The sequence below is a fragment of the Homo sapiens genome, chromosome 13, assembly GCF_000001405.40.
Source record: "Homo sapiens chromosome 13, GRCh38.p14 Primary Assembly".
In the NCBI taxonomy this organism is placed as follows: domain Eukaryota; kingdom Metazoa; phylum Chordata; class Mammalia; order Primates; family Hominidae; genus Homo; species Homo sapiens.
Window position 1 is genome coordinate 89350612 of NC_000013.11, and position 18798 is coordinate 89369409.

The following is an 18798-nucleotide window of genomic DNA, read 5'->3' on the forward strand; positions in this document are numbered from 1 at the left end:
TTAACATTAAAAGTGTTAACTGAATGCAGATGCCAGGGAGAAGAAACTGAGCATGCGCACTAAGAGACAAAACGGTGAAATATGAGCTTCTGGGTACACTCCACCAAAAAAAGGGAAGAAAACCTCAAACGGATATGCATAAACATCGTAAACACACTGAGCGTGCTCATTTCCCAAGGCTAAGGAAGGCACTGCGCATGCGGGAAGCCCACCATAAGGGAAGAATCATGGGAAACAGGCAAGCCTATAAAGCCCCATGATCAATGTTAAACACCCTTTAGTTTCTCTCTGTGACCTTCAGGCGCCCTCTTGGATATCTTCCAAGTGATCTCTCCTTTCTTTCCTGTTCTGAAGCCTTTTTAAATAAACTTCCACTCCTGCTATGAAACTCGCTCTTGGTCTCTTTTTCTGCTTGACACACCTCAGTCAAATTCTTTCTTCTGAGGAGGCAAGGACTGAAGTTGCTGCAGACCCATGCGGATATGCCGCTGGTAACTCAGGGTAACTCTGATCTCTCCCACAGGTAACACAGTCATATATTGTTTTTAAATTTTAATATTTTAATTCTGGATCTCTAGAAGCTAATTATGTTGTTACTGCTTCTTCAAGTCAATGTTTTCTTATTTCTTTGACACATGGCTCATTACTTTTAAAAGCCAAAGGTGTATGGAAATTGTAAACCAAAAATGAAATTCTAAGCGCCCCCGCCCCGCCCCAACCATCTGAATGGACTTTCTCCTCTTGGCCAGGGCACTCTTTTAAAATCTAACCTGAGAGACTTTGAGGCCGTGACAGGAAATGCGGGGTCAGATATGCCTCATTATACCTCTGCAGCACTAACATCAACACAGACCTTTAAGAAGCATTAACAAACATTTGCAATCTGTTCTCTCTGAAGCCTGCTACCTGGAGGTGTCATCTGCATGATTAAAATTTCTCTATAATCTCTTATCTTAAGTCAGACATTTCTTTCTATTAATCCCATGTCTTTTGATAAACTCAACCAATTGTCAACCAGAAAATTTTTAGACCTACTTGTAAGCTGGAGTACCTATAAGCCCACTTCAAGTTGTCCCACCTTTCTGGACTTAACCAATGTATTCCTTGTATGTATTTGATTGAAGTCTCATGTGTCCCTAAAATGTATAAAACCAAGCTGCACCCAGACCACTTTGGGCACACATTCTCAGAGTCTCCTGAGGGTGGTGTCATAGGCCATAATCACTCACATTTCACTCAGAATAAATCTTTTCAAATATTTTACAGAGTTTGTCTCTTAATCGACAAAATCAAAATTGTGACCTTGAAACAAATAAAAATGTTCCTCTTGGTTGATTTAATTACTTTCAGAATGACAGGTAAATTTTAACTACTACAAAATTTACCTGTTTTTTGTTTTTGTATATGGTGGATAAAGTAATATTTCTATCACTCAGATATCCCTCAAAGCTAGAATATATTAGAGTTCATTTAAATTGTAACAGTTTTCCAAATTTTTTGCCTGTGTGTAAGGGAAAATACTTGATCTTATTATTTCGTGTGATTCTGATGAGTAATTTAGTATCATTCTAGGATTAAAACAAAGGATCTTATTTTGACCATTGCATGTAAAAAGTACTCATTTAATTGGTTATTTTCAAGATATCATAATTTATTTAACCTATTACAAAGTAGTAATGAAAGAAGAGTAAATATTGAAGTGATATTTAGCCATGGAATTCAGAAGCATGATTACCGCTTGAACAGGAGTAAAACTAAGGAAAAAACAGACACCAAAGATGCTAAAATAAATAATATTACTTTACTATTTAACATGGTGTTGTTTCTCAGTCTAACCCAGAACTGCAGTAACTCAGTCAGCACCATGAGAAAGGCTCTCTAATCCCAATGGGCTTGGCTGGTCTAAAACCATAGCAGACACTGGGGCCTTTTTTGCCAACCTTTGCCCTCCCACTCTCCATTGCCAACCTTTGCCTTCCCGCTCTCCATTGCCAACCTTTGCCCTCCTGTTCTCCATTTTCAGTGCTCAAATGTGAGTCTCTGATGCAAGAAAAGGCCAAATCAAAGCAAACTTGCCAACATCACAAGAAAAAACGGTAAGAGAATCAGCAGCTGACTGATTATTTTTATCAATTCCTAGGGCACAAGAACCCATTAAAGGTTGCTTTTTGTTTCTTGTATTCTCATTCTGGAGTAGTAGCTATAACAAGCGTAGTGGGCCCCATTGCATTTAATGGGATAAAATGAAGAAAAAAAAAAGGTTAGGGAGCTGATTCGAGTTTATTCTGGCTGAAAACTCCAAACTAAACCTTTCTATAACAAAAGTTTTAGGCAGAAAAATAAATAGCACAGTTGTTTTTGTGTTTATTATTTGGTTGGTTGGTTCTGATACTTTTTCTCTATCAAAAGTTTTCCTATTGAAGAATTAGCTAATTAGTGTTTTTACACATATGCAACACCCCTTACATTTGAATATAGTGTCTTTTATTTTTCATAGCTTGGGTTGATTAAGGCATTAGTTGTTAAAAAGAGACAATAGAAACACTACATTGATGTGTCAATACATATAAAACTTGTTTGGAGTTTCACTGTTAATCCAGAATTATGTGCTAATAATTCAGTAAGTGAAGTAATCAATTACAAGATTGTATACAACAGGATTTTTGCATTAAAATGTATTCATGAAAAAAATACATCTTCCTTTCCTTATGCAAGGGGAAAAAAAAACGCTTTTACTATATGTGCAATCATTAGTGCGATATGTTGTAAATAAGACTATACTAAACTCTGAAGGCCCAATTTTCTCCTTTGGCCTTGACTAAACTTTGTTATTATTTTAATTTTTCTGTGATATCATCAAGGTCAAATTATTTGCCTATATTTCTTGACCACTACTATGAACTTGCTAATGCTTCAATTCTTTATAAATTATGAAATGTGCTAATTAAAGCTGAAATCCTTTGAGGTATTCAAGATACAATGTATTGATTGACTTTGACCTGCACCACAGGATACGGTCAGAATCCAATAATGAATATTATACAGGAATCATTCCTGCTATCTGATGATCAGATACCAAAGGGAAAAAACAAATAGAAAAATCAAGACAATGCAGAGAAAACTGAGACACTTGGACTGCTACAGTATTTCAGCCATATCACTATTGACATTTATGAAAACAATTGGCTCATGCAGGAAGGGAGCAAACCATAGAGACCAGCCTGTTATGATTTTGAGGATTACTTTAATATTGCTGCATACAAAAATACTATGGTTTCCATTCTATGTCAGGCTATTAAGCTTTTACTTCTTAAACTTTTTACATTAAATTTTGCAAATATTTTATTCATTATTATCTGTATTTGTTAACAAGTTTTTAATAGCTTGGCATGGAGTCTTATATTAAAGCAGATTAAAATTATAATTAAAACTATTTCTTTAATCATAATGAAAGACAGCAGAGGAAGGGGTGCAGACAAGAGAAATATTAGAAGTAGGAACAGAACAATTATTGAAAATTAGTTTAACAGAACCTGCAATAAGCTACTTGTTGCATTGTTATGCACAATTACACGCAAAAGCTGTATGAAACTATTATGATGATCTGAGATATATACATATTAAGATTTCAGGGGTTTAAACTGGATATTCTCTCACCTCTATTCAATAACATACATTTTTGCCTATAATTTGCATATAAGTTATGTGGGATAAAAATTAAGTATTCAATAATAAATACCCTTGCATTTGCACTTATTTGTTTGCTTTAAATTAATAAGACTCACCTTAATACTAATTTAAAATCAGAATATTCTACCATTGTGCAGAATTTGAAAGTATACGTCCATAACTACTAAGTTAGAGTAGGGGTAGTAACAGCAGCACTTGAATGAAAAACTCTCAAATCAGACTTTCTCAGTTTTCATCTTAACTCTGGCACTTACTAGCTCTGTGGGTTTGGGAAAGTTATATGACCTCTTTTAAAAATCGTTTTTATGACCTCTTTTAAAAATCGTTTTACATATTGTTACAAAGGTGACACTATTAGTGTCTAATTCTTAGAGTTGTTATGAAGATTATATAATATTAGCCAACCAGGATGTCATTATCAAATAGCGGCGGCAGCAGCAGCATTGCCTTCACAATTTTCTACGCTTTCCTTTGTTTAGCATTAAATATGTGCTGAGCATGTCCCTTTTGCTATCTAGTTAATTCTCTCTCAAAACGTCTAAAGTAGGTCAGGAATAAAACATAGATGTCTACAATAACCCGGCACCTGGATGAAGAGGACAGGGGAGGTAATATGGAATGTTGGAAAAGTTTCAAAGTGGAGGAGACAATCTTCTGTAAAGCAAGCAGGCATTAGCTTCAGGGGATTCCTGTCATGCTGGCCCAATTTTGTCAAAATTTCTTTCTTTTCAGTAAAGCCAGTAATCTGTATTTGGGATTAAAATCTACTTCTGCTTAATGTTAGAAAAAAACTAAATAATTTAAGACACTTATGAGGCCAACATCATAGGACACATTTTTGATGGCTACCTGTTTGCTGCCTCATAAATGGGCATTAGTACTCAGTTTTTCAGTGGAGCAAGAGTGAACACAGAACTTACCTAAGGTCAAGAAGCATGTAAGTGCTTGCGCTAGTATTTTAGATAAATATCATCTAATTCCATATTCCCTTTTAACTATGTTGCATGGCCTCATATCTTAATGTATGATCTCTAGGTAAATATGCAGGATTTATATCCACTTGACTACATTATCACCTTCACCACATCTCAGAGGATGTTGCTCTCAAACAATAAAAATTACCTTCAAAACTTTAAGTGTATTTTTCTCACATCATTAATTTTAATAGCATGAGGTATCACTTAGTATGATTCCATGTTTGCTGCATACTTAGAAAATCATCTTTCCTATTTCACCTTCCTGCACAGGTACCACAACCCATCTCTATGCAGGACCAGTTATGTAATGCGTAGTGCACAGTGCAAAACAAAAACGTGGGGCTCCTTGTTTGGATCCAATAAGAATGTCAAGACAGTGACAGCAGAGCTTTAAATCAAGCATGCGGCACTGCTGAGCATGGAGCCCAGGGCAACTGCACAGGCTGGACGCTTTTGAGGCCATCTTTGCCTCAGTGACACACGCAGTGAGATGGCCTCTCCTAATTGAGCAAGTCCCCAGATGATCTCAATATGGGGTTCAGGGCTTTCTAAACTTGAGATTCAAATCTACGTATTTCTACAGGCCACTTTAGACATCCCAAATCCTTGCAATATTATTGTCCCCTTTTATTTGTTTGGATTATATAAACTCTGGCTTTAATGAGCACAGTCTAGTGAGTACATTATATTATTAAATCTTAGGTTTATACATACACGTATGTTAATGTATCCCAAATAAAAATATAATGATAACAATTTCTAAATGAAGCTCTCAGATAACAAATGAATTTATAAACCCTTATTGGCTTTTGATATTTAAAATAATACCTGCAAGCTATGACACATTTTAAGAACACAGACGCTTATAAAACAATTAACATAGAAGCCTTCTTTTCCTCTTAATCTCACTCCTCGGGTAGCTACGGGTTATAACTGTTTGGTGTGTGTTCTTCCTAAATTTTTGTTTTCCTATAAAACATAAAAACAAGGAAGATATGTGGTAGATATATTTGTAAGCCATCATCTCATTCTTTCAAATGACTTCCTATTATTACATATCATGGACGACTTCCTATTATCCCATGTCATGAATATACTAGAATTTATTTAGCAATTCCTTATTGGTGGGCACTTGAGCTACTGTCAGTTTATGTGTGTTTTGTACTACATTTTAAACTTATTCTGAGTAAGTAAGAACTTGTTATAGCAGGGATACTAGCAATGTAAATGATACATAAGCAAGGTTCAGTACTTGACCATTGAAGCTTTTGGTGGAGAAACAGTATGATCAAAGGTGTATGTTAGAATAATGCAAGGTGGGTGCTGAATTGGAATGTGACTCTAAGCAGAGAAGACCAGTAGGCTATTTCTACAATCATCTAGATATGAGAATCTGAAGATTTGAATAGGGGCTATGATAGTAAGAAAGGAGATAAAAGATTCTAGAATTACTATTCATATTCCATTAACTGGGAGAAATTGGTAGTGACAAAGAAGTTGTTAATTCCTAACTACAACTAAATCAAATCTAAAGTCAGCTTTTGATTTTCTAATGGTGGGACACAGAAGAGAGCTGGGACATGCTTCTGGTTAGTGGATGAATGCTGATCATTCATTTTGGGAATGGGTCAAGCCTTGGGAGCATATGTGACTTGAGGTGGAGGCAGGAAGCTGAGAAAAGGAGGCCAAACAGAGTTCTGATCTCTCTTCTCTGCTTACATCAAAGGCAGCTCTTCTGCCTCCTGGGTTCTTGCTTCCCCGCTTGACAGTTGGCCAATAAATGCTCTCAGCTGGAGAGGTAAAGGGGTCCCAGCTCACTGCTCAGCCTCAACCATGTATAATTCAGCCTCAAATAACCAAAATGTAACCCTTTTTGGGAAAAAGAACTGACAGGAGATGGTGGCTGATTAGATATAGGAATAAAGAAGAGTTAAAGACAGCTATGAGATTTCAAACCCGAATGAATGGGATAATATAACATTAATTGAAAGAACTTGGCAAAGGGATCAATTTTTTTTCTTTTTAGTTGAATCAGGAGAGAAAGGAATGTATTTAAATTTTTTAAATGCAAGATGGAGAACATACAATTAGAAACTGAAAATTTTGTCCTGGAACTCTATAGAGAATTCAGTCGGAGTCATCATCATGTGGCTAAGCTTTCGCCCTATGAAAGACAGAATTTGTCAAGAAAGTCAGAGAAAGCACTGTGGTGAACAGCAGCATTTGATGATGGGAAGAACAGAGAGTGGTCTTAGACAGAGTTATCCTAGAAGCCAGAAGAGGAGGGTGCAATTTCAGAAAAGTGAGGTTCACATCATTAAATACCATGCATGGACTGAGAGGACACAGGCCAAGAAGGACTTGCCAGATCTGCTAACTGAGGATAGTTAGTGCCCACTGGGCCAGGGCCAGGGCCAGGGCCAGATGGCAGCCTGGTGCAAGTCTGTGTGGGGAACACACAAGTCCATGACTCCAGCTTAGGCAGAGCAGGGCGAGAAGGAAAATTAACAAGAGGCGAGAAAGGGAGAGTAGGGATTCCTGCACCCATGTTTAGGGGATTCTCCTTCCCTTTTCAGGTTTCAGTATCACTCTGAACCACAAGTGGATGTTGTCTTTTTGTTCTTTCCCATCATCAGTAAAGAACTCCAATTTTCCATTTTTGATATAGAACTAAAATTTGTTACATGTTATGATGGGAATAAAAATGTTCATTCCTTCAACTGAAAGAATTTTCCTTCTGACTGTATTGGAGTTAAGCTTTTGGTTCTCTCATCCTTAGGCTGTTTACAGCAAGGAAAACCTGGAATGACCTAAATGTCCAACAACTGGCAGACTGCTTAATTAGATACATTCAATAATTCAACATTAGTTTCATTTTTCTCTTTGCTATCTAAATACTCTCTTTTCAGGTGTAATGAATCATAAAATTTGACAAGAGGAACTTCATGTGGGCTGACCATTAACTTAGGTTTACACTCTTTGTTATCAGAGAAGTCCTCACCTAAAGAGTACACTTCTTTCTCGAGGATTTGGCAGTAAGGTTAGCATCTTTTTCTTTATTTAGAACAGTATCAATAAGAAACATTGTACAGACATTCTGCTTCCACCTGCCCTCAAGGTCCTGACCAACTCTCCCACCTTGCACAGATGCATCACCTCAAAAGCCTGTATCCAGATCCGTTCTAATGCTCAGGCTCTTTACTGAATATGAAGCCCCGTCTGCTATTGCCCAATCCCGTGTAATCAACCCACATCTGCACAACAGGCTAAGAGGCAAATTCCAGATTGGAGACATCTGGTCAGCCCATCCTCTGAAAAGTCATTATTTTGATGACAGATGTTTTTGCATTCGGTTGAATCTTGTGCCTTAAACTTTGCACCTTAATGGTCTCATCTTACCCAAGCCCTGATTCTTCTGATCCTAGTTTACATTTATTTTACCAAGGGATTTTGGCAAAAGACATATGTGAGTTGCAAATTACACCCAGGTTATACACAAACCTCTCAGTAGTTATGGCTAATTTAACAGTGTTATCTACTCTCCTTCATATTTCAAACATCTGAAAGAATGAAACATCTAAAGATTAAATATGAGACTCAAATGATGGGTGTAACATATAGAACTGATGTACAGAAATGTATATATAACTAAGTGTATATGAGCATCTACAATTTTTTAAAAATCCTTGGATTTAATTTATTCACTTACATAATTATAAAAACTGGTGGGCAGATCACAAGGTCAGGAGATCAAGACCATCCTGGACAACATGTTGAAATCCCGTCTCTACTAAAATACAAAAAATTAGCCAGGCGTGGTGGTGTGCACCTGTAGTCCCAGCTACTCAGGAGGCTGAGGCAGGGGAATTGCTTGAACCTGGGAGGCGGAGTTTGTGGTGAGCCAAGATCGCACCATTGCACTCCAGCCTGGTGACAGAGTGAGACTCCACTTCAAAAAAAAAAAAAAATTATATTTATCAAATAGCATGATTTTACTCTCAATGAAAAAAGTCACCAGAATTTATTTGTACACTGTAATACTTCAAATAAGATTTTAAAAAAATCACTATCAGATTAAGTGGGGAAATTATCTATTGTAGAGTAATACCATTCTGTCAATAAAACTTTTAAATTTTTGATACCCAACCTAGTTTCATTTCATTGGATCTTTTATCAACTACTGGAACACTAAAGAAAGGAAATATATAAGGTATTTTTGAATTCATGGCATGAAAATTTAAGAAGCAGCAATAGCCACTAATGCTTAGATTCAATAGTGTATTCCATAAAGTATATTTCTACAACAATATAAAATTGTCCTGCTTTTTTCTAATATGGTGAATGGTCTAAGTTTTTGCAAATTGCCTTCGCCTATATAAAACATATTTATTGCTTATTTATTATTTATTGCTGAATAACAGAAAAGTACACAATTAAAATAAATATTGAACTCCATATCCCTCTGTTATTTTTTTCAAAAGAAAAAGGAATAGTGTTTTATTAACTATCACACTGTTATAATACACTTTAAACATACATCAAGGTAGCCTTTAAATTTGAGATGGTCTCAAGAATAACAAATGAACAGAATTCCAAATTTTTGCAATAGGTGAACTGCTGCAGTTACAGGTATACATTTAGGAAAATTGTATAGCTCTTCCATGACCAGCATTGTAGCTTTATTTTGTACATTTTTTTAATTGAAAATATAAACTAATTTAAAAATAAAAAGAAAATACAGCATAATAAAAAAATACGTTCTCAATTAAATGTACTAGATACATATAAATTTTAAGGGAAGAAGCAAAAAAGGAAAATGATTGATATTTAAGTGCAGACTGACTACCTGGACAAAAAAAAAAAAAAGACAAAAAAATGATAAAACCTCTAGTTTGTCTATGACTAATATCCATATGGTTGGAGTATCGTCACTATGAAAGTGATTTGGTTATGTTTGCATATGTTATACTTTACTGGTAATTTACATGATGGCTTTTAAGGCGCTGGCAGACGTATGGTTTTTGAAAACAAAATTGGATAAAAATCACTGCTAAGATGTGATACGCCTTATTGTTTTGGTCCCCCAATATTCAAGAAAAGGGATAATTCACTATAACATTTTCTTACCATCCAAATGCCTCAAGCTATACATTTTAAACCTTCTTAAACATTGGTTATGTTGCCCAATTTTGTTATTGAAATAATATTAACAAGACATTGTTTTGGCAAGTTAAATCTTAAACATGGCTTTTTAACAGGATTTAAAAGGTGACTATCCCTAGAGTTCCATGTTAAAATGTAGTTTTCAAAATCTTACCAGAGTAATGCTTAAAATTTGTAGATAGTTAACCTAATTAAAATAATTAGCTTCGAAACAACAAATTGATAAGCTAAGTAAAACTTACACTATGTAACATTTGTGTGGACACTTGATTTGTCAGTTATGCATAATAAAAATTCCAGTCATCAAGAAAATTACAAAATTTTTATCATAACATGATTTCTTTCACCCACCAGCTTTATCTTACAATAGATAAATACTAACATGTTCTCATTTTTACACTAAACCACACAGTATTGATGCATTTGGTTAGACTACCATTCGCATTGTTAAATTCAATTTTCTCTTTATATAACGTGGTAAAATTTCATTTCTTCTAGATTCCAAAAGTATCTACAAAATCCATGCAATTTTACCATTTTAATATACTATGGAATATCATACAAAGTAAGGCATTTCAGTGTCATGTATAACCAAGTTACTGTCAATCCAAAAATTTTTGCACATCAATACAAAGATATCTAAGAACTTAGGAACAATATTCTTCTCAGTACTGTATAAAAATAACCACAGTGAATATGTGTTTGTGTAATATTTACTCCATTGTCTCATTTCCAGAAACTGTGACAAGCCATAAAGGTATTTCAGTGTTGGTAAGGGTATCTGGATTGCTGGTGGCAGAGGTATTAACCGTTCCTATTCCTGAAACAGAAGCTTGTTGAATATTTGCAAGGATAAGTTTTGTTCCTCCTGCAGTAATCAAAGTATCGTCTTGCACAGCTTCCACAGATGCCAGCACCGTACTGCTAGAGTGAATACCTTTTTTATTCTGCTGTGTTTTAGTATGTTCGGCAAGATGGTCACTTCTCACAAAGCATTTTGAACATTCTGAACAAACAAATTTCTTCTCACCTGTATGTGTTCTACTGTGCCTCTGTAATTCATCACTTCGAGTAAATCTTTTACCACAATACATCCAGTTACAAACAAAAGGGCATGGTCCAGAATGCCAATGTAGATGAGCTCTGAGATGTGAGGTCTTCCCATAGACTTTACCACACCCCGGTATAGGACAAATGTGTTGCTTCTTTTTCCCAAGATTGGTACTTCTCCCACCACCTGCTTTACAGTTGGGGCAGGTGCAAGCTACCCTCTGAAGTCCTTTTCCTTCTTGATGTTGTTGGTCCCCTTCTTCATCTGCCACGTGTACTCTTAACTGTGGTCACAACACAGTTGTGCCACTCTTCAGGATCAGGTTCTTCTTCCTTGATCCTAGTATCTACAGGACTGTCAGCATTCTCTCCTGGATGTAGCTGTATACCAGTAGAATCTATAGAGTTTACTGTAACTGTAGATTTGACAACTGACCAGTGCTTAGACTAACTGGAGTTGAAGTGAAGGCTCCACCTGCCACAAATTGACCAAGTGTGAGTGTTTGAACAGGTGTCAAAGTTAGTTGTTGGGCAGCAGTTTTCTGTATTTGCAAATTCTGCAAGCTCTGGACACCTTGTATTTGAAACATTTGCCAAGTTATCTGTCCAGAAGGGGTCACTGTCTGTGCCCGAATTAAAAAGTTTCCAGGATTCAGCTGCAACTGAAGATTTTGCGAAGCCTGTTGTGATATATTTTGACCATTGGCTTGCACACTATGGATTGTCTGTGGTGTAATACCTTGCACAATTTGGACTTCACTGGTTGGCGGCCGAGACTCTTGAAGTTGTAGATGTACAACAGGCTGTGCTGGAGAAATCTGAATATTCTGTGTCTGTGTCTCTTCAGAAACAGGTGACTGGATATAATTTCCCTGAAGATCTGAAGAATGAACTTGCCCACTAGAAGTAGTCAAGCTATTTGTGTTTTGTTGTAATATACCTATACTATGTATCCTAACAGCCAACTGTGATGAAGATGTTGGCACAAATAAATCTGTATCAGTATTAGTTTAATTAATATCAGGAGAAACTCTCTCACCAGTCTTTTCTGAATTGTCTGAACTATCCGTACCTTGTCCTGTGTTTATCAAATGTCCATAGGCATTAATGCCTGCAGTCACTGTCTGAGAACTGTCGGAGAGTCCCAAAGAATCTAGATCGACACTATTGATTGGTACAAACGTAATATTTCCTGGTAGACCAAGAGGCACATTAGCAACTACTTGGGTTGGACCAGCAAAAGATGAACCACCAATTGCAACTCCCTGAACCTGGACTTGACCAGTCCGTGGTAGGAGATTCTGGATGTTGGCAGGTGTTCCAGAGGCAAGTAAGGTTTGATTAGAGCCAGGAATGATCTGAATTTGACTGCCTTCTTCATTTATACCCCCATTATCTGAAAAGCCTGTGAAACCAGTTTGAACCTGCCGACCATCTGTTGATTGGACTACGTACCATTTGATGAATCTGATCCTGCTGCGTCTGAAAATGTTTGCTCATTCTGCAGATTCTGAAGGGGGAGAACATACTGCCTGCCCACTTGAAGTAGCAGCACCTGGAATCTGTACTAGATTACCAGCTTCATCTTTTATAGTTGTAGGTGTGGCTGACAAAACCTCCCATCAGTTTGGTGCTCCTCCTAACAGTGCAGAAGCCAAATCACCTGTCGCTCCAGCAGCGGCGGGTGCCCCGGCTCCGGCGGCCACCTCCTCCTTGTCGTCGCCGGGCGTTGGCGGCCCTATCTTGCTGCAGGTAGCGGCCAGCAGAGCAGGCGGTGACGGCTGAGTGTCCTACCCACGATGGGCGGGTTCAGAGAGGGAGACAAGGGGATGAGTGGCGGTTAGGGCTGGGCCGCCGCTCATACAGGAAGTGCGACTGGGTCCCCGTCGGCTGCGCCTGGGGGAACGCCGGCCGGCGCTCTCCTCCTCCTCGTCCCGCCACCGGCCCCGCCTGGCGTCCCCCGCTCGCAGGCACCCCGGCTCCCTTGTCCGCGGGCAGGTGGGCGCCGGCTACCCATCCCCGGGAGGACGCCTCTGTTATGTTTTCAATTAATTTAACAAACCAATATAGAAGAGAGAAAGAAAAATTATGTAAATGATTAATCATGAAATAATAGTAAACATTTGGGGATATTTATAAAACTGAACGGCTGGGCGCGGTGGCTCACGCCTGTAATCCCAGCACTTTGGGAGGCCGAGGAGGGCAGATCACGAGGTCAAGAGTTCGAGACCATCCTGGCCAACACTGTGAAACCTCGTCTCTTGTAAAAATACAAAAATTAGCTGGGCGTGGTGGCAGGTGCCTGTAATCCCAGCTACTCGGGAGGCTGAGGCAGGAGAATCGCTTGAACCCGGGAGGCGGAGTTTTCAGTGAGCTGAGATGGCGCCACTGCACTCCAGCCTGGCGACAGAACAAGACTTCGTCTAAAAAAAAAAAAAAAAAAAAAAAGCGTTGTATCATTTTTAAACTAAGGCAAATGATGGCTTTAATTTTCTCAAACATTAAAATTGCTAATGTGAGTTTTGGAGGAAGAATGTGTGTGTATATATATATATATATATTCTTTTTATATATTTATTTATTTTATATATATAATTAGTTGTAATATATACAAAATATTTTAAATTATTGCCAAAATAAATTAGTCAATGTATAATGGCCTATAGGAGGAAAATAAGTAATCATCGAACAATTTCTTAAAAAGTAATCCATTATTCATTACACTCTGAAGGTCATTTTTTAGAGTGAAATAAAAGAGAAGAAGTTGAACACATGTAACTCTTTTATGCAGGAATTATAAATTAAATTTGTTGACAAATTTGAGAAGATAATGTTTTCTGAATTATATTGTTATTTTCATTGAGAAATTAAATATATATAATTTAACTATAGCATCTTCTTTGAGGAAATTGGTTTTTTAGTTGTTTTAATTTGGAGAGTGGTAAAGATTATCATACCTTAATAAATATAATTTTTTTTTCACATTTGGCTCATATTAAACATTTCTATTAAGCTAAAATTGAGTATGAATTGGTTGTTAAGTAGTTAATATAAAAATGGATAAAAAGATACAATTTCCTCTCAGCTAACTGACATTCAGGCTTTTACATGTAAATTTTCTCATCAGGGTTACACAAGGATCTCAACATTGCCTGGTGCTCAGAAATTCTTGCAAGCCATTGTGGGCTTGAGGTATGGAATTCCTATGGAATACTAGGAATAAACAAAGATATTAAAACTACTACCAAAGAAGAGTGGCCACTCAGCATTTCTTTTTGAAATAGATTTGTAGTTCTGAATAATAAGTAGAGAAGAGTGAAAGATAAGAATTCTTTGCAACTTGATACCTTGCAATAGCATAAGTGAACTACTCATACAAGCCTCAGTTTTTCTTTTCATACATTACTACCATATCACAAAAATAGGATAGCAGTCAGCCCAAGAGTTTGACGAGGTGTAAACTTAACCTTTTTAATTGTTTTCATAGATATCACATGAGAGGCAGTATCTCACAACATGGGTTTTCAGCCAGACAGATGGGTTCAAAGCACCACTAGTAGGTAGTAACCACCTACTGGTTGCTGGAAAATATTGGCAAAGTTATTTTACATGCCTGTCATTTTCCAACTTATAAAATTAGGATACTCATATGTGAGGCGAAAGGTTAAGCTGCTGTACCAAAAAAAAAAAAATGGCAGAGATTAAATCAAAATTTATTTCTCTTGCATGTATCATTCTGTCTGATATTGATCAAATTATTAATCAGAACCATGTGTATCTTGAAAATGTCAGTGATTTGTTTCCATAAATAATAAAAAGTACAGGACAGGGAGGAATGGAGGAAAAAAGAAAGATGATAAAGTACACAAAAGAAATATTTATCTGCATGTTTCAAGGTAGTAAGATAAATGCTGCTTAATATTTTGTTTGGCAAAACAATAATGGCTATGATTCAAACATATTTTATGCATTCTTCCAGTAAGCTATGCTATTTGCCCAGTTACTAGAGATTGTCGATGATCACATTCTTACAGAACTTCACTTAACGAAAATAACAAGGCAGGTTATCATGAACATAAGCTGTCCGAACTTGTTAGTAGCATTGAAACTATGTATAATTTTCTTTATGAAAATTTAGATTTTAATGGAAAATTAGAGGAATAACAAGGAAAGCTATTTATTAAAGTGAGAGTTAATTAACATTATTAAATATTAATTAATATAACATTATATTAAACATTTTAACTTGCCGGTTGAACACTTAAAGCAAAATAAGCATAGAGGAAAAGCTTACACACATACAAAGACACAAATACACATGGAGATAGTCAACATCTGTAATTAAAAACAAACCACATTTTTAGATGTCTTATATTAATATAAATATGTGAAACTAATGTTTGTGCACTGCTCTTTTCAGATAATAGATTAGCATTTTGAAATATCTTAAAGTGATTGAAATGATAATTTATTTTATATATTAATGCCATTATTATTTAATGGGATTGAAATGATATTTTCTGAATTGATATACTATCCTTAATATGCAATGGAAATACTTTTAAAAGATTAGTTGAAAATACGAGTTGAAAAGCATGTATTCTATATTTACATAGAACTCCACCAAACCATAAATGAACAGTCAACGAATAGATGTTTCTGCATCCTTACTATGTGCTTGGAATTACATTTTACATTTTTTAAAATGTAAAAAATAATTTTACATAAAATAATATTCTAAATTTTTCAGAATATACATTTTGTTTTAATGCTGGCAATGTAATTTTTATCTAGTAGATGATTTATCTATGAATATTTCACAAAACCTACTTTTCAGAGTTTGTGTGGAGAACCAGCTGCCATGTGCGCTACTTTATTTTTATTTATTCATTTATTTTTTTTGAGACAGGTTCTCACTCTGTTGCCCAGGCTGGAGCACAGTGGTGCGATCATGGCTCACTGCAGACTCAACTTCCTAGGCTCAAATATCCTCCCACCTCAACCTCCCAAGGAGCTGGGACTACAGGGGCACAACACCACGCCTGGTTTTTTTTTTTTTTGGTAGAGATGAGGTTTTGCCATGTTGCCCAGGCTGGTCTCTAACCCCTGAGCTCAAACGATCCATCCACTTGGCCTCCCAAATGCTGGAATTACAGGCACGAGCCACTATGCCTTGCCTATGTGCACTATTTTAAATTTAAAAATTGACATAAAAGAGAATATTTTGTATTAACAGTTAACGAGATAAAATGCAAATGGATTTTTGTTTTACAGTATAATAATTGGCTCAAATTAGGAATATTAAAGTAAAAAAATGTTTTTGCAGTGCTATCACATCTTTTGTTTTAATGCATCTGTATATTCCGCTAGCACAGAGCTGATCCAAAACACAATATTGTATATGCTACTACATGGGCATTCATCTCAATTTCTCCTTCCTTACAATGCATAATTCTCAAAGTCAATAGCTGAAATATCAACTGGTGGTACAAACTTGTGAGTTTTGATGACTCAAGTTTATTGTTAAAAAACAGGTATTGGTGAGTGATGTGATTTGGATCTGTGTCCTTGCCAAATTTCATGTTAAAATGTAATCTGCAGTGTTGGAAGTGGGGCCTGGTGGGAGGTGTTTGGATTATGGAAGTGTATCCCTCATGAATGGCTAACCTCCAACCCCTTGGTGATGAGTGAGTTCACCTGAGATCCAGTTGTTTAAAAGTGTGTGGCACCTCCCTCACAACTCCCTGTTGCTCCTGCCTTTGCCAAGTGATGTGTAACCTCCCACTCTGCTTTCTTCCATGAGTAAAACCTTTCTGAGGCCTCCCCAGAACCCAAGCAGATGTCAGTGTCACGCTTCCTGTGCAACCTGCAGAAATGTGGGCCAGTTAAAACTCTTTGTAAATTACCCAGCCTCAGATATTTCTTTACAGCAATACAAGAGCAGCCTAACACAATGAGTTAGAAAGAAATAACAACACCAGATATATGATCTTAAGGATGAAAAGAACCAAACCAACATAGACATACAAACACATGCATATGTTGTGATACGTAGTAAATTTACGTAGAGAGTGTGCAAAGTATACTGACAAAAATAAGTTTTTTCCATTGTACCAGGAAAAAAAGTAACTTGGGGTAGTGGTTAAAGAAAGTTGGGCTAACAATTGTTCCAATACTTTTTGAAAAATGTAATATACTTTTTAACAATGTAATATAAATGTAAAAAATATCTCCACAGACAAATCCAATATACAATAAACTTTGCAAATGATTTTTGGGAGAACACAATTCCCATTAAATTGATCTATAAGAACTCCAAGTGTCCATATGCCAGTTAAGCACAAATACCCATCATGAATTGTTTTCAATAAACAGTTTTGCGTTTAAACTAGTTGAATTTATAATTTATTAAACAAAGTAGAACAGATATACATATAAAATAATATTTTGTTGTGTTAGTCCATTTTCATGCTCCTGATAAAGACGTACCCAGGACTGGGCAATTTACAAATGAAAGAGGTTTAATTGGACTTACAGTTCCACGTGGCTGGGGAAGCCTCACAACCATGGGAGAAGACAAGGAGGAGCAAATCGTATCTTACATGGATGGCAGTAGGCGAAGAGTGAGATTGGGCAGGAAAACTTCCGTTTTTACAACCATCAGATCTTGTGAGTCTCATTCAGTATCATAAGAGCAGTGCAGGAAAGACCTGCCCTCGTAATTCAATCATTTCCCACTGGGTTCCTCCCATAGTATGTGGTAATTGTAGGAGCTACAATTCAAGGTGATATATGGGTGGGGACACGGCCAAACCATATCATCTAGGTAAGGAATTATCAGATCTATGTATTACTTGTCAAATGTCTATAGATACAGTTGTCATTAACAAAAATAATATAAAATGTTAATTGATAAAAACTTTGTGCACATATCGTTTTTATGTATGCTAAAACTTATGAAACTGCTGCAAGAATGGCACTAGAGATCCTGAATACTATTTACTCAGATTTACCAATTGTTAACATTTTTCCTATTTGCTTTATCATTCTCTCAATTTGTCTCCCTCTCTCTTTGAGGTAATATCTATATATTGTGTACATATATGGGTACACATATATATGCTTTTTTAATTAAGAAATTTAACATTGATATAATAATTTCTTCTACTCCAGATAAAATAATCACATTTCATGTATTATCTGTATAATGACCCAAATTACTGTTTTATTTATGTAGGATCACGCAAAGCAAGGTCACACAAAACATTTAGTTTCCATGTCTCTTCAGTCTACTATCATCTGAAACGATTATCTGACCTTTTTCGTTTAATCTTATTTTGTCCATTGTTAGCCTTTTTCATGGTTGAAAAATACAAATCAGTATTGTTTAAAACGTTTTTCAAATTGGATTTATTATATTCATTTTTGTACTTTTGCAATAAATGCCACAAAAGCAATGCTGTATTTTTTTACATCGTGTCACACAATATTTGTTTTACATAATATTTAGTCATAGTAGTTTTAACCTCTTGCTTAGGACAGTGTCTCCAATTTTTCTGTTCTGTAAAATGATCACTCTTCTGCTTATAATTTTTAAGTAATTTATAACAATAATTTGAGGCTATGTAAATTTTCCATTTCTCTTCAAATTTTCATCCACTAGTTTTAGCAGCCATGGATGAATTTTAACTCCAATTATTTATTCTATATTTATTATATGTCATTATTCTGTTAAAAAGAGTTTTCCATTATTCCTCATTTATTTATTCATTTACTTATTTCATCATTTTGGACTACAGACTTTTGATATTGAAAAGCTATTGATAGGTAATAATCTATCAATACCTTTCTTAAGATTGATGCTCAAATTGTTCCCAAATTTCTCAGCAGAAGTCCCTTCTAAAGTCCTCTTTGTTCA

At 36.0% G+C, this 18798-nt stretch overlaps 1 pseudogene, besides 1 other annotated feature; it reads right to left on the reverse strand.

The window, feature by feature from the left end:
* SP3P (Sp3 transcription factor pseudogene) lies at positions 9142–12672 on the reverse strand (annotated as a pseudogene).
* Positions 13783–14284: an enhancer, noted in NCBI's record as "NANOG hESC enhancer chr13:90016648-90017149 (GRCh37/hg19 assembly coordinates)". NCBI's record gives its function as "activates a minimal SCP1, AML or CMV promoter by ChIP-STARR-seq in primed H9 embryonic stem cells {active_cell/tissue: H9 hESC(primed)}" and the evidence as "EXISTENCE:reporter gene assay evidence [ECO:0000049][PMID:30033119]".